The 22,874-nt window shown below is 43.2% G+C and overlaps 2 pseudogenes across 1 annotated transcript; one reads left to right on the forward strand and one right to left on the reverse strand.

The window, feature by feature from the left end:
- Positions 1-3,556: 3,556 nt before the first annotated feature.
- SSX9P (SSX family member 9, pseudogene) lies at positions 3,557-8,186 on the reverse strand (annotated as a pseudogene). The gene is made up of 5 exons (NR_073393.1): positions 8,120-8,186; positions 6,786-6,874; positions 6,234-6,348; positions 5,611-5,706; positions 3,557-3,769 (listed from the first exon to the last, which is right to left on the reverse strand). The product of NR_073393.1 is annotated as an SSX family member 9, pseudogene (transcript).
- Positions 10,198-11,697, forward strand: LOC791092 (ornithine aminotransferase pseudogene; annotated as a pseudogene).

Below are 22,874 nucleotides of genomic sequence, written 5' to 3' on the forward strand. Positions count from 1 at the left end.
GAAGTTGACAAACTTAATCGACCAATGTTGTGTGTGTCCTGACTGCTCCACCGATGAGCTGTTCCACGTCTCTCCTCCTTTTCTTGGGCCTCCCTATTTCCTGAGACACAGCAACACTGAAATGAGGATTATTAACAACCTTACAATGGCCGTTAAGTGTTCAAATGAAAGGAAGAGTCGCATGCCTCTCACTCTAAATCACAAGCTAGAAATGGCTAAGCTTAGTGAGGAAGCATGCTGAAAGCCAAGACAGGCTGAAAGCTCGGCCTCTTGCACCAAACAGCCAAGCTGTGAATGCAAAGGAAAAGTTCTTGAAGGAAATAATAGTATATAATGCAAAGGGAAAGTCCTTGAAGGAAATAATAATATTAACACTCCAGTGAACACACGAATAAGAAAGCAAAACTGCCTTACTGCTCAAATAGAGAAAGTTTGAGCGGTCAGGATATTTGACGAAACCAGCCACAACATTCCCTTAAGCCAAAGTCTAATTCACAGAGAGACCCGAACTCTCTTCCAGTCCATGAAAGCTGAGAGAGGTGAAGAAGCTGCAGGAGAAACGTGTGAAGCTAGCAGAGGTTGGTTCATGAGGTTTAAGGAAAGAAGCCATCTCCATAACTTAAAAGTGCAAGGCGAAGCAGGAAACCCCGATGGAGAAGCTGCAGCAAGTTATCCAGAAGATCTAGCTAAGATCACTGTTGAAGGTGGCTACACCAAGCAACAGATTTTCAATGTAGATAAAATAGCCTTCTATCGGAAGGAGATGCCTTCTAGGACTTTCATAGCTAGAGAGAATTGACTCGAACTTTGAAAGAATTCTACTGTGGGTAAAATGCTATCCAATAGCATCACACACTACAGAGAAATCCTTCATGAAATGGAGAGCTAATCGATGTGGCAAATTTCACTGTTGTGTTCTTTTAAGAAACTGCCACAGCCACTCCAACCTTCAGCAACCACCACCTTGATCAGCCAACAGCCATCAACACCGAGGCAAGACCCTCCACCAGCAAAAAGAGTGAGTCACTGAAGACTCAGAAGATTATTAGCATTTTTAACAATGAATTATTTTAAAATAAAGGTATGTACATTTTTAGACATAACGCTACTGCACTCCTAGTAGACTGCAGTATAGTGTAAACATAATGTTTTTATGCACTGCCAAACCAAAAAAACAATGTGTGTGACTCACATTATTGCAGTGGTCTGGGACTGAATCTGCAATATCTCTGAAGTACACCTGTACTGGGTATCAGGCATTGAGCTAAGTAAGATATGATCCCAGGTTATCAAAGATAGAATCGCTTGAGCACCTTTCATATCATCAGGCCTTCTAGATTAAATATAATACTTCCAAACAATTTATGAACTATGATTCTTTATTTCCATCTTATGGACTAGGAATCTGGAACTGAGAAAATTTGGAAGACTTGCCCCAAGTCACGTGTTTTTTTATATGGATGACAACTCCAGTCTGTATCTCTGGAAGTCCAGTCAAACATCTCATCTGGAGCTGGGTGAGCTCCTCAGCCCAGTCTGCACCCAGGCTTGTCTGGGATCCATGCCACACACCCAGTCCACACACCTGAACATAGCCAGGGAAGCCAGAGGGGTTGTTCCCAAATTATTTCCTCTTCCCAGATGCCTTGTTAATCTTCTCAGAGGTAGTTGGTTTTCCCGGGGGGCACAGCTGTTTCCCATCGTTCTGTAAGCCAGATGCTTCTGGCACTTCCTTCGAATCATTTCCTACCTCTGCTGGCTTCTTGGGCATGATCTTTATAATGTGAAGGTCACAGATAAACAGTATCGGTGACATTTCTACAGTGCTTTAGAGCTTACAAAGGGTCTTCACATGCATTACTTTAATCAATGTTCTCAACAATGCTGGGAGAGTTACACTTGCCTAAATTAGGAGAAACCTGGGAGGTTAGATGGGAAAGGAATGGCCTATGTGAATATGGTTTCCAGGGCTAGAATGCTTATCTTCACACTCTTTTAAGACTGACATTCTTGCAAACAGCAAAAATCTCCATGTAATTGAGAGTTTGGTATACAAAAGATTGGAAGGAGGATAGCATTCTAAGAATTCATAAGGTCTACAAAAGGAAGAGCTTCTGTAAAATACAAGGGATCTCATATTAGCTCTTAGCTGCTGGGAGAGTAAATGTAAAAACATAGAGAGGGGACAAAACACTGCTGGGAAAGATGTTGTGGGGAGATGAATACAGGGACAGGAGAGGTAAAGAAATGGTTTGCTGAAATTAATCTAGGCAGCAAAGAAAGCAGAGGCACCAATTGAATGTGGAATTCAGTGAGGTGGTACCCATACCAATTCTGGTTGCATTGGGACGTGTCACTGACCAACAATCTTAAGCTACTTTTTTTTTTTTTTTTTTTGAGACACAGTCTTGCTCTCTTGCCAGGCTGGAGTGCACTGGCGCCATCTTGGCTCACTGCAACATCCAACTCCTGCGTTCAAGTGATTCTCCTTCCTCAGCCTCCAGAGTAGCTGGGACTACAGGCAGGTTCTACCACGCCCCGCTAAGTTTTGTATTTTTAGTAGAGACGAGGTTTCACCATGTTGGGCAGGATGGTGTTGATCTCTTGACCTAGTGATCCATCCACCCCAGCCTCCCAAAGTGCTGAGATTACAGTCGCGAGCCACCGTGCCCCGCTCTTAATCTACTTTTTATTCAGCTTCCTCACTTATGAAATAGTGAACAATACACATAAAATAGTCTATGGGAAAGTCCTCTCTGAGCTTGTAAACACTGTTTAAATGTAGTAATAATAACAATTAATACCTTTCATGATCCATCTTTGAATTCGGTCTCCACACTGGCAACCCAACTCCCAGATCCCTTTATCCTCTAAACCAGAGTTGGATCTGCAGTTGTGGGATGACTCATTCAGGGGTCTTTGAGGGAACCCCTGGGCTGGAATGGGGGCTTCCGGGACGCCCCAGGTGCAGACAAGGTCCTCAAGGAGCTCACAGTAGGGAGGGGCCAACAGTCAAAGCGATTCCTAAGCCATGCAAGTGGTCCCAGTAACAGAGCAGAGGCCAGCTGGTCCTTCCTGTTGCGAGAGCGGGTGTCTCAATGGAAGCACCAGGAGGCCCTATGGGGTAAAGCCCTAGTGAGCAACATCTGAACTTCATAAACAAATGCAAACGTGAATGAGCTTTAAATGGCTTGGAGCTCTGGATTAGACTACCACTGACACTGTGCCCCAGGAAAATTCTTTAACATCTCTGTACAATGATAGCCTCATTTTATTATTATGTTGCTGATAACTATGATCTAAAACATGAACTATGATTCTTTACTTCCATTTCATGGACCAGGAATCTGGAGCTCAGAGAACTCAGAAGATTTGTGCCAAGTCACATGGCTTTTATATGGATGACAACCGAAGTGTGTGACTCGTTATTATTTGGAGATAATAATAGAAACAACATCATAGAGGTCTTCTTAAGGATTAAATAAATTCATCCATGTGAACTGCTTAAAATAGTATCTGGCATCACTATGAAAACAAAAGATGTATTGAGGATCACAACTGTTAGTGTTATCAAGCTGTTGGTGCTACATCAGGTGTTGTGATAGATATGGGGAGAAGAAGGCAGTGAGGGCATTTTTTATATTCTCCCACTCTTACCAGTGTTCCCATCTGTGGAGGGACAAAGGTTCTCTGGTCCTTTAGATTTGAGAGATACTCACCTTCGGGAAGATTCCCTGGAGCCTGCCGAAAGTCATCTGAGAACGTTCAACTGCAAGAGAATACATCAGAATTTTTCCTTGTTGGTAAAGATTTCCAAACTCTATAGAGACTTCTGTAGCATCAGGGTATTCTCCAGCAGAGGCTTATGAGTCCACTCATTGTTGAGGAGTTATTTCAGATTTGCTTCTGAATTATGTTTAGTAATGGTTGATTCATTTATCTGTGGCATCCATTCAGAATTTTCCATCTCATAGTTTATCAAATGTGGACTAAACCCCATCACAGTCTCATCTTATTACTTTACATATCTTTTACTTTTTTCCAAATAATTAAATTGATTGGTTAAGAATCTGAACTGTATCCACTCAAGATGTGCAATAACTGAAAATCACTGTACACTTAAAATGGGTGAATCTTACGGTATGTGAATTAAGCTGTTAAATGTGTGATGAACCATGGATGATTTGGTCCAGTGGCTCTGAAATATTTTCAGTATAAAGACACTTCTTTAATGTCAAAATCTTGGCAGACACTCAAGCCCTGGATTTTCAGATCTCTTGTAGTGATCGTGGGAGATTGTAGAATCTGGCCTTTTTAGTTGGGGAGTAATAGGTCTATTGGAGATAGTTTGGACATTCTGACCTTGTCTTATAATTGTGTTGTCAGAGCAGAAGAGCAAGGAAACACATATGCCCCCTTTATATTACTGAAATGTACAAAGATCTCTACCCAAGAACCTGTCTTTTTTTCACCCTGTGTTATCTCTGCTCTCTGACAAGTGGGAAAGCTCTCTGTGTGTGGGATGAGGGATCACTCTTTCAAACTCACTCCCGAGCTCATCACAGAGAATCAGGGTTCTTTGGGAATGAGAAGACTATTTGGTTTTGATAAAATACAGAGAAACAGCGATCTTTATTACATAATGTGTTCATCAACCTCACTCCTAAGATACCTATCCAATACCTACATGCTGTTAATGAAACAAACTCTGGAAGTTTTTGGCAGATCTACACTAGTAACATTTTCTTTCTTTTTTTTTCTCTTGTAACATTATTTTAACAGTCCTTTGATTCATTAACAGTGCTTAGGAAGAACAACATGTCGTTTAAAAAAGAAATATTTCAAACACACAGAAAAGTATGGGGAATAATATTGAGTCCAGTCGGATCTCAACATTACCCCACAGCTATGTTAGGTCTGATTTATTTATTCAGAATATTAGAAAAACTACAAACAGGCCGGGCGTGGTAGCTCACACTTGTAATCCCAGCACTTTGGGAGGCTGAGGTGGGTGGATCACCTGAGGTCAGGAAGTTTGAGACCAGCCTGGCCAACATGGTAAAACCCCGTCTCTACCAAAAATAAAAAATGAGCTGGGTGTGGGGGCGGGCAACTGTAACCCCAGCTACTCCGGAGGCTGAGGCAGGAGAATCACTTGAACCCGGGAGTTGAAAGTTGGAGTGAGCTGAGATTGCCTTATTGCACTCCACCCTGGCCGAGAAGAGTGAAACTCCATCTCAAAAACAAAAACAAACAAAACACACTATCAACAAGTCACAGCTGAACCTGTCTGTGCAGCACTCAGCAATCCCTGCCCTCCCTCCCTCCTCCACTTACAGCCAGTCACCTCAATTTGATGGCTTTTTATTCACATTCATGTTTGTATACATTTACCATTTACTTATTATCTATAAAAATATATATACTTGTTTTTCATGTTTTAAAATGTTACATGAATGGCCTCTGTCGTTAACTTTCTGCATGCAATTTTTTTTCACTCAGCCCTGATGTGTATGAGGGAACAAATGCCTGAGGATCTTTCCCAGGTAACTGAGCTGAAAAGCAATTGGGCTTGATGAGACCCTTTCCAGCCCCTTCCCATCTACTCACCCTGATTCCTGTGGTTACGGTCATTATCAAAATCATTCCCCTGGAGGTCTGTGGCCCCTGTATTACACATGAAAGGTGGGAGGGTAGCCTTGAAACCTAGAAAGAAGCAAAATGTTTATTCCTAAGAGACAAGCTTTGACCTGCCACGGTGGTTCATATCTGTAGTACCAGCGCTTTGGGAGGCTGAGGCTGGAGTATTGCTTGAGGCCAGGAGTTCAAGGCTGCAGTGAGCTATGATTGCACTACTGCACTCTAGCCTAGGTGACAGACTGAGACTCTGACTCAAAAAAAAAGAAAAAAAAAGAAAGAGAGATACAAGCCGAGAGAAGGAAGGTAGGGACGGTGTGGAGGTGCCGGGATGCCACAGAGACACTTGGACTCATCAGAACAGAAGCCTAAGGGAGAGAAACGTGCAGGATCCAGGTATGAGCTCCACTGTGGCCAGTCCCTGCCCTCAGCCCTGACAGGATACAGAAGAGCAGAACACCCAGAAGCTGCCTTGCGATTTTTCCCTGCACAAAAGGAAAATGTGGGGTACTTTCTGCAGCCTAAGAAGTAGCCAAAGCAGGAAAAGGGATGCTCATGTGTCCCCAGACTTGTCTGTACCTAGAACTTTCTGTTACCTAGTTTAGTCATGGCCTCATACTTTCTCTTCATATACACATAGATGATTTTCTCCGAGGATTTCATCTTTTCCCACTCTTTCTTAGAGAAGTATTTGGCAATATCATCGAAGGCCTAGGAAAAGATAAAAAAGGAATTTTGTCAGTGACTCAGCTAGACACGTCTGCCATTCAGCTGGAGCCGCCTCCTGTGTGCTGGATCTGGGAAGTGGGGATGATATTCCGTCCTGGTTGATGCCATGGCTAACTGACAGAACATGAGGGACCTTTCCTAGCTTCACCCCTGCCACACAGTAGGGCTTTAATGCTGCTGGCTGGCTCTCTTCCCACTTTCCAGAATGGACTGAGATTCACCAAATGTAGTGCACGGTCACAGACTTGTCTCCAAGGATGCTAGTTGATGATAGAGCGAGGATGGGAGGCTCTCAAGGGTCCAGATCTCCCCCAAGACCCTGCTCCTTGTCTCCAGTATCTCTATCCTCCCCTCCTCAGAAACCGGTCACCCCACACTGTCCCCTGGGCCACTACTTTGCCCCCTCCAGGTCACCTCACCTTTTGGATCTTCTCTGGTATTTGAGAACCAGCCCTAGGTCTCCTTGCAAAGGCATCGTCTCCGTTCATGGCACCGGGAGCAGTCTGTCCTGCAAGAGAAACAGACCGAGTCTTTCCAGCCACAGCAGCTTTGGTCTTGTGGAGGGAGAAATCAGTGAAGGCCGGCCACCCTCAGTCACCTGGAATCAGGTGCTTCATTTCTCCATCTGGGGCTTATCTGTCCCTGAGTAATGACATGGGGCGAAGTCAGATGAAAATAGGGAACCAGGGGTCTCTGGGAGAAGTATTGATTTGGGATGACAGGCTTCCTGTGGGCAAAGCAGCCTTGAGTCTTTGGGAGGGGGTTGGCTAATGTTGTTAGTAGTTTCCCTGGGGCCAGGCTTACCCTGAAAGATGTACAGACCCTTGTTGGGAAGGCAGAGATGTGACTGTGTAATTTTATTCAGTGGGGGCATGCTGACACCCCCACTCAATAAATAAAGGAAGGGAAATGAGTCCCAGAGATAACATGGTCTCTCTGGTGATGGATCTGATCAGGCAGAGGGATGGGGGGTTCTGTTCTGTTGAAGAGAAATGAGCATGGCTAATATGAACGGATTTAGAGGCTATTACTGGGTGATTTGTAAATTATTAGAAGAAGAGAGCTAGAATTTCTGAGACTACAAGAGCCCGCCATCACTTAAAGAGAATGTAGGGAGTTTCAAGGTACAGCAATCAGCCAGGCGCAGTGGCTCATGCCTGTAATCCCAGCACTTTGGGAGGACAAGGAGGGCGGGTCGCTTGAGTCCATGAGCTTGAGACCAGCCTGGCCAACATACCGAAACCATCTCTACTAAAACAACAACAACAACAAAACACACACACACACACACACACACACACACACATTAACAGAAGCGGAGTGGTGTGCGCCTGTAGTCCCAAGGCCTACGTGAGAGGATCACTTGAGCCCAGGAGGAAAGATTTGAGTGAGATTTTTTGTTTGTTTGTTTGTTTGTTTGTTTTGAGTCATGGTCTCTCTCTGTTGCCCAGGCTGGGATGCAGTGGTGTGATCATGGCTCACTGCAACCTCCGCCTCGTGGGTTCAAGTGATCCACCAGCTGTGGCCTCCAAAACTGGAGTTACAAGCGTGAGCCACCGTACCCGGCCCAAATTTGTTAAGTTACTAGAGTTCCCAGGAAAAATCCCATACCTGAAAAAGTTAGAAACTGACAGGAAGGATTTGAGATGGCGACCTGCCTCACATACACTCCTTATTAAAACTAGATAACAAATGCACCGCGGAGGAGGGGAGGGGTAGGAAGAATGGAAAAAGAAAATCAGCGCATGCTTACTCTGATTTTGGAAGAATCGAAAGAGAAAATCAGACCGTGCGTACTCTGAGTATGGAAGAATCGAAAGAGAGAGAAAGTCAGAGCATGCATACTCTGAACTTAAAGTAGCCAATCCCGGGGGATGCTTTAGGCGGGAAAATCAGGGTCTCCACCCCCAGTTAGAAAGTTCTGTCCCTGGAGGCTGGACTGATAGACGCCACATCAGCTTTGCTTATCCCGCCTACTGTTCTGACTTCTGATTGGCCAGATGGAGTTCACCGACTGCCCTGATTGGTCCATCATCCTTGCGCAGTGACATTGCACAATATTGTCTCCTCCTCCAGCAACACTTTGTTGCCACTGGGACAAAGTGGGTGGTCCTCAGGCGCCGTCAGATTTTGAACTCTCTGAAGACCATGCCTGGATCTCGGGTTAAAAATCTGGATTCTAGTCTGAACAGCGAGAAGAAAAAAATAGTCGGATCTGTGATTTTTCTACTTGAAAGACACAATGTTTTCCAGACTAGCACATTTGCAGAGCTTTGCTGTACTTAGTCGTGGCTTTCATTCTTCAGTGGCTTCTATATCTGTTGCCACTGAAAAAACAGTCCAAGGCCCTCCAACCGCTGATTACATTTTTGAAAGGGAATCTAAGTGTGGTGTGCACAATTAGCATCCTTACCTGTAGCCCTGGAGAGACGAAAATGTATTTACTTAACGGGATGTGATTGTGGTATTGGTTACATCCGCCTTGGCCAATCTTCCCGCCTCGGTCTCGTGACTACAGGCGGGAACCACCCCACCCCCACTCATATTTTTCGTTTTTTGATTTTTTAAAAGAGACAGTTTCGCTATGTTGGTCAGGCTGGTCTCCACGTCCTGGGCTCAAGCGATCCTCCCGCCTCAGCCTCGGGACTACAGGCATGCACCACCTTGCCCAGGCTTTTTTTTTTTTTAAGTAGAAACCATGTTTCGCTATGTTGACCAGACTGGCCTCAACCTCCTGGGCTCAAGGGATCCTTCCACCACAGCCTCGGGACTTCAGGCATGCACCACCCGGCCCACGCTTTATTTATTTATTTATTTTTTAGTGGAAACCAGGTTTCGCTATGTTGGCCTGGGCTCAAGGGATCCTCCCGCCTTGGCCTGGGGACTACAAGCATGCACCACCCTGCCCACCCTATTTTTTTTTTTTTTTTTTTTGCTTCTTTGTTTGTTTCTTTCTTTAGTAGAAACCGGGTTTCGCTATGTTGCCCAGGCTGGCCTCAATCTGCTGGGCTCAAATGATGCTTTCACCTCGGCCTCAGGAATACAGGAGTGTGCCATTCTTCCTGCTCATTTTAATTTTATTTACTTATTTATAGGAAAGACAGGCTTTCGCTTTGTTGGCCAGGCTGGTATTGACCTCCTGGGCTCAAGCAGTCCTCCCACCTTGGCCTCGGAACTACAGGGGTGAGCCATCCCACCCACGCAATTTTTTTGTTGTTCTTGTTGTTAGTAGAAATGGGGTTTCGCTATGTTGGCCAGGCTGGCCTCGACCTCCCAGGCTCAAGCAATCCTCCCGCCTCAGCCTGGTGACTACAGGCTCACACCACCCCACCACCACTAATATTTTTAATTTTTCTAGTAGAGACAGTTTTGCTATGTTGTCCTGGCTGGTCCCTACCTCCTGGGCTCAAGCGATGCTCCCGCTTCGGCCTTGGGACTACAGGCATGCACCACCCTGCCTTTTGCTATTTTTCCCAGGCTGGTCTTGACCTTCTGGGCTCACTCAATGATTTGAACCTGGGAAGCCGAGGTTGCATTGAGCTGAGATCACACCACTGCACTCCAGCTTGGGCGACAGAGCAAGACTGTCAAATAGATAAATACATCCATACATGAAAGAAAGAAGAAAGAAAAGAAAGAAAGAGAAAGAAAGAAGGAAGGAAGGAAGGAAGGAAGGAAGGAAGGAAGGAAAGAAAGAAAGAAAGAAAGAAAGAAAGAAAGAAAGAAAGAAAGAAAGAAAGAAAGAAAGAAAGAAACCAGCTGAATCTCCGTAAAAACAGTAAGCTTTGTGGTATATTAACTTACCCTCATCCCATCTCGTGCTCCCAGCTTGGTTCTGTTCATTGCTGATGAAATACACATAGGATTGGCCAGAACTGGTAGATGGCTAGCTATTGATCATGAAAATGTCAGACCTGATATAGTCCTCCTTGGAAAGGCCTTTTCTGAGGGCTGATACTCTGTGTCTGCAGTGCTGTGGGACGATGACATAATGCTGAGCATTAAGCCAGGCGACCATGGGTCCACATACGGTGGCAATCCACTAGGCTGCTGAGTGGCCATCGCAGCCCTTGAGGTTTTAGAAGAAAATCTTGCTGAAAATACAGAACAAAATGGGTATTCTCTTGAGAAATGAACCCATGAAGCTACCTTCTGATGCTGTAACTGCTGTAAGAGGAAGAGAATTATTGTGTGTATGTGTGTATGTATGTATGTATTTAGAGTCAGAGGTTCACTCTGGTTGCCCAGGATGCAATGGTGCGATCTTGGCTCACTGCAACCTCTGCCTGCTGGGTTCTAGCGATTCTCCTGCCTCAGCCTCCTGAGTAGCTGGGATTACAGGCACGTGCCACTATGCCCAGCTAATTTTCATATTTTTAGTAGAGACTGGGTTTCACCATGTTGGCTACGCTGGTCTTGAACTCCTGACCTCAGGTGATGCACCCACCTCGGCCTCCCAAAATGTTGGGATTACAGACGTGAGCCACTGTGCCCGGGAGGAAAATAATTATTAATTTCTATTGTTATTAAAGAAACCAAAGATTGTGATGCTTGGAAGGTGTGTCTACGACTTCAAGATTATCCACTTCTGGCCAAGCCAACCCATGGCGACATCATCAGGTTTCGCCTCCGCTGGTGGTGAAGGGGGATGAGATTCAAGTCCAGTGAAATCATTAACAAGGCCATCTTGTCGTTCTGAGGGTAGCAGCTGTTTTCAGTGGTCCCCAGGAGCCGGCTGGAGACAGGTGGTCTTGTAAAAGCTCTGCTTTTAATGCAGGCACATTCCACTCCGTGTGTCTTCAAAACCTTTTTGTGGAGTATCTATTTTTTTCAGTTAATACATAGTAGAACAACATTTATGAAGCTGCTGTTTGCTTTGTAACGTAAGTAAGAGCATGCAATGGCATCTATGTTCTGTGAAAGTGTTTTGATGTGTTGTGTACTTTCTAAGGTTAAACGTATCTATATATACAGACAGCGTTTAAATTACATCATTCAGTGTACTTTATATATGTTTTTATAATTTCCTTGCTGGTATAAATGCTTTGTATTTGAAAAAGTTTTCTCTAGGGAATTACATAAAAGACTTCACCTTATAAAGTCAAATCATTGTTATCATTAAATTTTAGGAAGGATGAATGGTTAAGCATGTATAAAATACTAATATTAAGTAAACTTCATGTTGGCCAACACCAGGATGTATTCTATGGATGTCATTATTTTCAATTAAGAATTAGTGTTTAACATTCCTAAATTGTTTTGAGTGCTTGATTATAATTTGTTTAAAAATGTTTAATATTTCTTTAAATTTAACATAAAGCTTGTATTTCAGAAAAAAAAAAAGATACAGAACATGCCTGGGTGCAGTGGTTCACGCTTGTAATCCCAGCACTTTGGGAGGGCGAGGTGGGCAGATTACTTGAGATCAGGAGTTCAAGACCAGCCTGGCCAACATGGAGAACCCTGTCTCTACTAAAGATACAAAAATTAGCCGGGCATGGTGGCACACGCCTGTATTCCCAGCTACATGGGTGGCTGAGACAGGAGAATCTCTTGAACCCGGGAGGCAGAGGTTGCAGTGAGCCAAGATCATGCCACTGTACTACAGCCTAGGTGACAGAGTGAGAATCCCTCTCAGAAAAAAAGAAAAAGGTACAGAACATTTCCATCATCATAATGCTATTCCTTGTGCTAGTCATTTTTAGTAATACTCACTCTCATCCCATCCACCATCCCTAACCCCTGGCAACCACTAATCTGTTTTTCATTTCTATAATTTTCTCTTTTCTACAATGCTGTACAAATGAAATCTTATAGTATATAACGTTTTAGGGACTTATTTCACTCAGCATAATTCCCTGGAGATTCATCCAAGATATTGATATTTGTGTATCAATAGTTCATTGTTGTTGTTGTTGTTGAGACGGAGTCTCACTCTGTCGCCCAGGCTGGAGTGCAGTGTCTCGGCTCACTGCAACCTCTGCCACCCAGGTTCAAGCAGTTTTCTAGCTTCAGCCTCCCAAGTAGCTGTGACTACAGGTGCGTGCCACCACGCCCGGGTAATTTTTGTATTAGTAGCAGAGATGGGGTTTCAACATATTGGCAAGGCTGGTCTTGAACTCCTGACGTCATGATCCACCCGCCTCAGCCTCCCAAAGTGCTGGGGTAACAGGGTGAGACACTGTGCCAAGCCAGTAGTTCATTTTTATTACTGAGTAGTATTCCATAGGATAGATGTCCCACAGTTTGACCATTCACTTATTGTAGGACATATTGATTATTTCCAGCTACTGGCTATTACAAGTAAAGCTGCTATGAACAATTATGTACAAGTTTCTGGATGGACATACATTTTAATTTCTCTGAAGTGTAATTGTTGAATTGTATGGTCATTGCATGTTTAGTTTTATAAGAAACTACCAAACTGCTTTCCAGAGTGGCTGTAAGATTTTACCTTCCCAGCAGCACTTAATGAGGTGTCCAGTTTCTCTGCATCCTCATCACCATTTGGTGTTGTCACTATGTCTTTTATTTTAGCTATTGTAATAAGTGTGTAGTGATGCCTCATCGTGGTGTTATTCTGCATCTAGTGAAGCAAATGAGTGTTGAACATCTTTTCATGTGCTTATTTGCTTATTTCCTCTTCAGTGAAATGTATGCTCATATCTTTTCATAATTTTCTAATTGGATTATTTGGGTTTTTTTTTTTACCTTTGAGTTATTATTATTATTATTATTATTATTTTTTAAGGCAGAGTCTCTCTCTGTTACCCAGGCTGGAGTGCAGTGGCATGATCTTGGCTCACTCCAACCTCCGCCTTCCAGGTTCAAGCGATTCTCGTGCCTCAGCCTCCCGAGTAGCTGGGATTACAGGCACGCATCATCATGCCTGTCTAATTTTTGTATTTCAGTAGAGATGTGTTTTTTGCCATGTTGCCCAGGCTGGTCTTGAACTCCTGGCCTCAAGGGATCTGCCCTCCGTCGACCTCGACCTTTCAAAGTGCTAGGATTACAAGTGTGAGCCACCAAACTCAGCCTACCGTTGAGTTTTGAGAGTAGTATACATATCCATTATATATTCTGGATGTGAGTCCTTTCTTGGATATGTGGTTTGCAAACATTCTCTCCCAGATCATACCCTGTTTTTTCATCCTTTTAACAAGATTTCTTGCAGAGCACAAGTTTTAAATTGGATGAAATCTAATTTATTTTTTTCCTTATTGATTATGCTTTTTGGACCATTCACTGTGCCCTAGATCTCAGACGTTTCTCCTATATTTTCTTGTAAAAGTTTTCTTTTAGTTTTATAGTTTAGATTTAAATCTGTGATGCACTTGAGTTACTTTTTTGTATAAAGGTAAGAAAATTAGGTCATTTTTTTTTGGCCTATGTCTACAACATCTCCAGCACCATTTGTTAAGCAGACAATCCTTCCTTCTTTTTGTCTCTTGGTAAAAAATCAGTGTGGGGCTATTTCTAGGTTCTCTATTTTGTTCCAGTGATCTATGTGTCTACTCTTCTCCCAGTACTACACAGTCTTAATTCCTGTAGCTATATAAGAAGTATTGAAATATGAAAGAGCCATTCCTCCCATCTTATTCTTCTTTTTCAAAAATTGTCTTAGCTATATAAATATTTTTTGAGATGGAGTCTCACTTGTGTCGCCCAAGCTGGAGATCAGTGGGGTGATCTTGGCTCACTGCAGCCTCCACCTCCCATGTTCAAGTGATTCTCCTGCCTCAGCGCCCCGAGTAGCTGGGATTTCAGGCACTCACCACCACACCCAGCTAATTTTTGTATTTTTAGTAGAGATGGTGTTTTGTCATGTTGGCCAGGCTGGTCTCGAACTTACCTGAAGCGATCCGCCCATCTCCGCCTTCCAAAGTGCTGGGATTACAGGCGTGAGACACCACTCCCAGCATTGTCTTAGCTATTGACAATTTGTTACAGCAACAATCAAAAATGAATATACTTAGAAACAGATTAGTGTAACAAAATAGAAAGTCAAGAAACAGACTAATTTATATACCAACTTCAGCATGCATTTCCAAACAAACAGTGGGCAAAAGATGGGTTGTATAATAAAGGATTGTTGACAAGTGTCTATCCATTTGAAAAAATAAAGATGAAATCCTTATGCTGAACCACATAAAATAATAAATTCTAAAAGTTCGGAGACATAAATGTGAAAACGTGAAGTCATAAAGAACTAGATGAAAATTCAGGAAAATATTATAGTGTAAGAGATCTTGAATTGGCATAAGCAAATCCTGACATTACACCAAGGATATAAACAATTAATCTGACATAGTTAAAGATGTAAAAATTAAAGTATCATCTAAGTCAAAAGACACCATAAACAACTGTTTAAAAAGGCAAATTTTAGGCTGGGCGAGGTGGCTCACGCCTGTAATCCCAGCACTTTAGGGGGCTGAGGAGGGCGGATCACGAGGTCAGGAGATCAACACCATCCTGGCTACCATGATGAAACCTCGTCTCTAATAAAAATACAAAAAATTAGCCAGGCCTGGTAGCACATGCCTGTAGTCTCAGCTACTCGGGAACCTGAGGCAGGAGAATCACTTGAACACGGGAGGCAGAGGTTGTAAATTTAAGAGGAAGCAGAAGATTTCAATAAGCAATGGTGAGGAGAAAAATACTAGAATTTATTGAAAAGTGTAAAGTTTAGATTGTAAATTAAAAAAATTATAGTCTTGAACTAAATTTGCAGGTATTATAAACATGGAAGATGGGAGGAGGGACAGAAAAGAAAAGAGAAGTTCTTTTGGTGTTCAACGAATGGATACAGATACTAATGAATGATAGAATGGTAGAATGGTTAAAAACACGAGCATTTTATTTTGTTTTATTTTAGACAGGGCCTCGCTCTGATGCCCAGGCTAGAGTTCCTTAGCACAATCGTGGCTCACTGCAGCCCCAGCCTCCTCTGCTCAAGTGATCCTCCTGCCTCAGCCTCCCATGTAGCTGGGGCTTCAGGTATGAACCACCACCCCTGGCTAATTAATTTTTTTTGGTAGAGACAGGGTCTTGCTATGTTGCCCAGGCTGACCTTGAACTCTTGTCCTCAAGTAATCCTCCCACCTCTACCTCTCAAAGTGGTGGGATTACAGGAGTGAGTCACTATGCCCAGTTAATGCTAGTATTTTAGAGTACAAACTCTGGAGCCAGACAGCTTGGGTGCAGTTTCTGGCTTCTCAACTTATTAAGCTATGTGACCTTGTGTAAGTCATATAACCTTTCTGTGTCTCAGGCTACTCAAGAGTAAACTGGGGATAGCCACACTATCTAGCTCATTTGATTGCTATGATTAAATGGGTAAGTACGTGTAAAGCACTTAGAATAGCGCCTGTCATGTGGTTAAGTTAGTATATATCTTTTAGTTGTTGTTAGTAATGACTTCAAATTACTTTTAAAATGTAAAAGCATATCTGGTTCAAGAAGAAGATGGTGAACCAGCAATAGCTGCTGGCTTCCTTCCCAAACCCAACCCTGCAGATGCCACAGAAGAGGTGGGAAGTGGTTGGAGTTCAGAACAGTTCCTGTAACAAAACCCTTGATGGTTTGGCCCCACTGGGGGATGAGACGGCTTAGAGTGGGAAAAGGTCAGAGGCCACAGATGGAGGATCAGCCCAGGTGGAGCTTTCTAAGTTGCATTCTTGTTTTCTCCTTGTTTTCTGGATGGCTCATTACCTGTTGTGTAAACATATAAAGCAGACACTTGGCAGGGCTGGCCTAGTGCTAGCCCAAAGTGGCGTGATAACATTAAGGAATAGGGGGCTTGGAAAGCTCCTAAAAAAAAGTGCAGACTCATCAAAGCTGGCCAGTAACTGAACATTCCTTTCCTACCTCTCCCTCTGCCCTCTGAGCTAGGCAATTACAACCAATATCACCCACCCGTAGACTCCCTCCACTCTGTAAGGCAGAAATCCTGTAAGTGTCTCTGGGGGCTAATAGGCTAGGAACTGGAAAGAATTGGCTCAGCTCAGCTCAGCTCTAGAGGCTGTGTATCCTATGACCTATCAATCCAGAAACCCTGAAACTCACATGTAGTGTCTGGGGTGACACATTTTTCCCAGGGACAAAGAGTTATATAGAAAAACTATCAGATAGGTCAGGCGCGGTGGCTCATGCCTGTAATCTCAGCACTTTGGAAGGCCAAGGTGGGGGGATAACCTGAGGTCAGGAGTTCGAGAACAGCCTGGCCAACACGGTGAAACTCTGTCTCTTCCAAAAGTACAAAAATTAGCCCGGTGTGGTGGTGTGCAACGGTAGCCCCAGCTACTCGGGAGGCTGAGGCAGTAGAATTGTTTGAACCCGAGAGTCGGAGGTTATAGTGAGCCAGGATTATGCCACTGCACTCCAGCCTGAGTGACAAAGTGAGACTCTGTCTCAAAAAAAAAATTCCTTTCTTTCAACACTTTGGAGTTATTACACCATTGTATCCTTGCCTCCAGTGTGGTGTTTGAGAGACCCGATGTCAGTTTAATTATTTTTCCTCTGTAAGTAACCTGCTATTTCTCTCTGATCGTTTTAAAACTACTTTTTCTTTCTTTCACAATTTTACATTTCACTGATCCTGTGTGTGTGTGTACTTACAATACCTTTAAATCTTAAGTTATTTTTCTAAATCTGAGAAATTCTCTTTCATTACTTATTTAAGTACACTCTCCTGTTTAATGACTGTATTCTCTTCTTATAAGGCTACTATTAGATGTGTTTTGACATTTATTCTTTTATCCTCCCTATTAATTAACTTTTATTTCATTTACTTCATCTGTATCCATTACCGATTAGTTTTATGAATTCTTTAGACTCATTTCCTCAGGTCAGCAATTGCCTTTTCAATTATATCAGTTTTAATATCCAACCTATTTCACTGAATTATTTATTTGAGCATTTAATGTTTTCATATCCAATCTATCCAATAGGTTATTTATTTTTTTATTTATTTATGATGGAGTCTTGCTCTGTTGCCCAGGCTGGAGTACAGTGGCGTGATCTTGGCTCAATGCACCTTGCCTCCCGAGTTCAAGCAATTCTCCTGCCTCAGTAGATAATTAAAAAAAAAAAAAAGCTGCATTTGGTGGTGTGTACCTGTAGTCCCAGCCACTCAGGAGGCTGGGGCAGGAAGATTGCTTGGGCCCTGGAGTTTGAGGCTGCAGTGAGCTAAGATTGGGTCACTGCACTCTAGCCTGAGTGACAAAGTGAGACTTTGTCTCTGAAAATTAAAAAAAAAAAGATCGTAGGCACGATTTTACTCAGAAGGGGGAGTACTATGAGATGTACACGGGCCACTGCAATGGGTTTTTGTGGTAGGAGAGATATTGGGATCGACTTGGACTCCACCAAGGACAAGTGGGGATTTATAGTCAAGAGTAGGGTTGGGGGGAGCGGGATCAGAAGATGGGAAATTACTTGGAGGAGACATCAGGTGCAGGCGGATTCTGGCTAAACAGACTTGACAGGAATTTTGCTGAAACAGGCTTAATGGGCAGAGTCCCTGGATGGGGAGGTGTGAGCCACCTCACCTGACCAACAGGCTTTGTTTAATATGTCAGTTTTCATAAGTAATCTAGGTATAATTGTTAAAAATGAATAAACGAGGTAAATGTGAGATACATGTTTATAAATGAACTTTTCATATAATTGGAAATCTTTTTTTCTTGCTCTTATCATACGAAGATGAAATATTAAAGTTGTGTTATGTTAGATTAAGTAATAGGTACTCACTAAATATTGGGATCATTTCCAACTAAGAAAACAGCTGAAACAAATCGCTAAACTTAAATACAAGTTTGTTCTTGGCCCTTAAGTTTTATAAAACACAAAAGATATTTGGATCCGTTAATAAAACGCCCTGTTCTACATTGAAAATTGTTCTGGCTGGACTTGGTGGCTCACCCCTGTAATCCCAGCACTTTAGGGGGCGGAGGCGGGCAGATCACGAGGTCAGGAGATCAACACCATCCTGGCTAACACAGTGAAACCCCGTCTCTACTAAAAATACAAAAAAATTAGCCGGGCGTAGTGGCACGCGCCTGTAGTCTCAGCTACTCAGGAGGCTCAGGCAAGAGAATCGCTTGAACTTGGGAGCCGGAGGTTGAAGTGAGCGGAGAAGGAGCCACTGCACTCTAGCCTGGCGACATAGAGAGACTCCATCTCAAAAAAAAAAAAAGTTACAACCTGTTCTCTCTGAAGCCTAGTACCTGAAGGCTTCCTCTGCAAATAAGAACTCAAAAAAAACTAAGAACGACTCACTTCAAGTAATCAACTTTCACAATGGTTAAAGCAGAGTCCTGCTTAGCAATGCACAAAAATTCTCCTTTGTGATCCATTCATTTTACTTCTGTTGACTTTCTTGCTTATGCTTTCAGACAGAGTCACTGTCCTTTGACCAGACTTGAGTCGGGCTCCTCTGAGTCCTGTTTCTGACTAGGTCCCAACCTCGGGCTCTGTCTTTCATCCAGGAACTCTGCCCATTTAGCCTGTTTCAGCAAAAATCCTGTCAAGTCAGTTTATCCAGAATCCCCCTGCACCTGAGTTTTCCTCTAAGTAATTTCCCATCTTCTGACCCCCGGCTCCTACTCCCTGACTACAAATCCCCACTTGTCCTTGGTGGAGTTGAAGTCGATCCCAATATCACTCTCCCACTGCAAGACCCCATTGCGGTGGTCCCTATACCTATCACAGAAGTCCCCGCTCTGAGTAAAATCGTCCTTACGATCTTTTTTTTTATTTTCAGAGACAAAGTCTCACTCTGTAACTCAGGCTAGAATGCAGTGACCCAATCCTAGCTCACTGTAGCCTCAAACTCCAAGGCCCAAGCAATCTTCCTGCCCCAGCCTCCCGAGTAGCTGGGACTAGAGGTACGCACCACCAAATCCAGCTATCTTTTTTTTTAATTCTCTGCAGACCCAGGAACTTGATATGCCCGTCTAATTTTTGTATTTTTTGTAGAGAGGGGATTTTGCCACATTGCCCAGGTTGGTCTTGAATTCCTGGGCTCAACCAATCCTCTTGCCTTGGGCTCCCAACATGCTGGGATTACAGGCATGAGCCACTGCAGCTGGCCCTTCCTTACAGTCTTTAGTAAGTGCAATAAATACTTGTTTGCTTTAACATTTCCCTGTGTCTTCAGTCTCCTGAAGTGTTATATGCCTGACATTGCCGTACTCCACCAAATATAGAAATTCCCTTCTTTCGCTGGGTGCAGTGGCTTACACCTATAATCCCAGCATATTGGGAGGCCAAGGTGGGCAGATCACCTCAGGTCAGGAGTTCGAGATCAGCCTGGCCAACATGGTGAAACCCCTTCTCTACTAAAACTACAAAAATTAGCCGGGTGTGGTGGTGTGTGCCTGTAGCCCCAGCTACTCAGAAGGCTGAGGAGGATAATCGCTTGTAACTGGGAGGCAGATCATGCCACTGCACTCCAGCCTGAGTGACAAAGCAAGACTCTGTCTCAAAAAAAAAAAAATCCTTTCGTTCAACACTTTGGAGTTATTACACTATTGTATCCTTGCCTCCAGTGTGGTGTTTGAGAGACCCAATGAAGGTTTAAATATTTTTCCTTTGTATGTAACCTGCTATTTCTCTCAGATCATTTAAAAAATATTTTTTCTTTGTCTTTCACAATTTTTTATTTCACAGTTCCTGTGTGTGTATGTGCGTGTGTACGATGACCCCTTTAAATCTTAAGACATTTGTCTAAATCTGAGAAATTCTCATTCATTACTTTTTTAAGTACACTCTCCTTTTTAATGACTATATTCTGTTTCCATAAGGCTACTATTAGATGTGTTTCAACATTTATTCTTCTATCCTCCCTATTAATTAACTTTCCTTTCATTTACTTCATCTATATCCATTACCGATTACTTTTATGAATTCTTTAGACTCACTTCCTCAGCTCAGTAATTGCTTTTTCAACTATATCCATTTTAATATCCAACCTATTTCACTGAATTATTTATTCGAGCAATTAATGTTTTCATATCCAATCTATCCAATAGGTTTTCTTTTTATTTATTTATTTGAGATGGAGTCTTGTTCTTTCATCCAGGCTGGAGTGCAGTGACTCCATCTTGGCTCACTGCAGCTCTGTCTCCTGAGTCCAAGCAATTCTCCTGCCTCAGCCCCTTGAGTAGCTGGGACCACAGGCGTGTGACACTATGCCAGGTGAATTTTGCATTTTTAGTAGAGACGGGGTTTCACCATGTTGACCAGGCTGGTCTCGAAATCCTGACCTCAGGTGAGCCGCCCGCCTCAGCCTCTCAAAATGCTGGGATTACAGGTGTGAGCCACTGTGCCCGGTCTTTTATTTTATTTTATTTTATTTTTTACAGTTTCACTATTGTTGCCCAGGCTGAAGTGCAATGGTGTGGTCTCACCTCACTGCAACCTTCACCTCCCAGGTTCAAGTGAGTCTCCTGCCCCAGCCTCCTGAGTAGCTGGGGTTACAGGCATGCACCACGACACACAGCTAATTTTAGTAGAGATGAGGTTTCGCCATGTTGGCCAGGCTGGTTTCAAACTCCTGACCTCAGGTTATCCTCCCGCCTCTGCCTTCCAAAGTAGTGGGATTACAGGTGTGAGCCACCGCGTCTGGCCTATCCGATAGTTTTTCTATATAACTCTTTTTTCCTGGGAAGGTGTGTCAGCCCAGACACTCCACGTGAGTTTCAGGGTTTCTGGATCGATAGATCGTAGGATACGGAGCCTCTAGAGCTGAGCTGAGCCAATTCTTCTTCCAGTCCCTAGCCTATGAGCCCCCAGAGACCCTTACAGGATTTCTGCCTTATAGTGTGGAGGGAGTCTACAGGTGGATGATATTGGTTGTAATCGCCCAGCTCAGAGGGCAGAGGGACAGGTAGGAAAGGAATATTCAGTTACTGGCCCGCTTTGATGAGTCTGCACTTTTTCTAGGAGCTTCCCAAGCCCCTTATTCTTTAATGTTATCAGGCCACTTTGGGCTAGCACTGGGCCAGCCCTGCCAAGTTTCTGCTCTGTATGTTTACAGAACAGGTAATAAGCCTTCTAGAAAATAAGGAGAAAAAAAGAATGCAACTTAGAAAGCTCCGCCTGGGCTGATCCTCCATCTGTGGCCTCTGACCTTTTCCCACTCTAAGCCATCTCATCCTCCAGTGGGGCTAAACCATCAAGGGTTTTGTTATTGGGAACTGTTCTGAACTCCAACCACTTCCCACCTCTTCTGTGGCATCTGACATCTGCAGGGTTGGGTTTGGGAAGGAAGCCAGCAGCTATTGCTAGTTCACCATCTTCTTCTTGAACCAGATATGCCTTTACATTTTAAAAGTAATTTGAAGTCATTACTAACAACAACTAAAAGATATATACTAACTTAACCACATGACAGGCGCTATTCTAAGTGCTTTACATGTATTTGCCCATTTAATCATAGCAATCAAATGAGCTAGTGTGGTTATCCCCAGTTTACTCTTGAGTAGCCTGAGACACAGAAAGGTTATATGACTTACACAAGGTCACATAGCTTAATAAGTTGAGAAGCCAGAAACTGCACCCAAGCTGTCTGGCTCCAGAGTTTGTACTCTAAAATACTAGCGTTAAGTGGGCACAGTGACTCACTCCTATAATCTCACCACTTTGAGAGGCTGATGTGGGAGGATTGCTCGAGGTCCAGAGTTCAACGTCAGCCTAGGCAACATAGCAAGACCCTGTCTCTACCAAAAAAAAATTTTTTTTTAGTTACCCAGGCATGGTGGTGCACACCTGTAGTCCCAGCTACATGGGAGGCTGAGGCAGGAGGGTCACTTGAGCTGAGGAGGCTGGGGTTGCAGTGAGCCATGATTGTGCTATGGAACTCTAGCCTGGGCACCAGAGTGAGGCCCTGTCTAAAATAAAACAAAATTTAATGCTAGTGCCTTTTACCATTCTACCGTTCTATCATTCATAAACATCTGTATACATTCCCTGAACACCGAAATAACTTCTCTTTTTTTTCCTGTCCCTCCTCCCATCTTCCATGTTTATAATACCTGGAATTTTATTTCAAGACTATAATTTTTTAAGTTTACAATCAAAAGTTTACACTTTTTAATAAATTTTACTGGTTTTCTTCTCATCATTGCTTATTGAAATCACCTCCTTCCTCTTAAATTTACTTTTCTCTTCTCATAGACCTGTATACCAATAATGATTTCTGAAGGGTACATGTGTCATGAATTTTCTGAAATATTTTTTCCCTCATTCTGGATTATCCTGGCTGTATATAGATATCTAGGTTCAACTTTTTTTGTTTGTTTTTGTTTTGTTTTGTTTTGTTTTTTGAGACAGTGTCTGGCTCTGTCACCCAGGCTGGAATGCAGTGGCACCATCTCGGCTCACAGCAATCTCCACCTCCCAGACTCAGCTGGGACTATAGGCACGTGGCACCACACCTGGCTACTTGTTGTATTTTTTGTAGAGATGGGTTTTGCCTTGTTGGCCAGGCTGGTCTCAATCTCCTG

The sequence above is a fragment of the Homo sapiens genome, chromosome X (assembly GCF_000001405.40).
Source record: "Homo sapiens chromosome X, GRCh38.p14 Primary Assembly".
Taxonomy (NCBI): domain Eukaryota; kingdom Metazoa; phylum Chordata; class Mammalia; order Primates; family Hominidae; genus Homo; species Homo sapiens.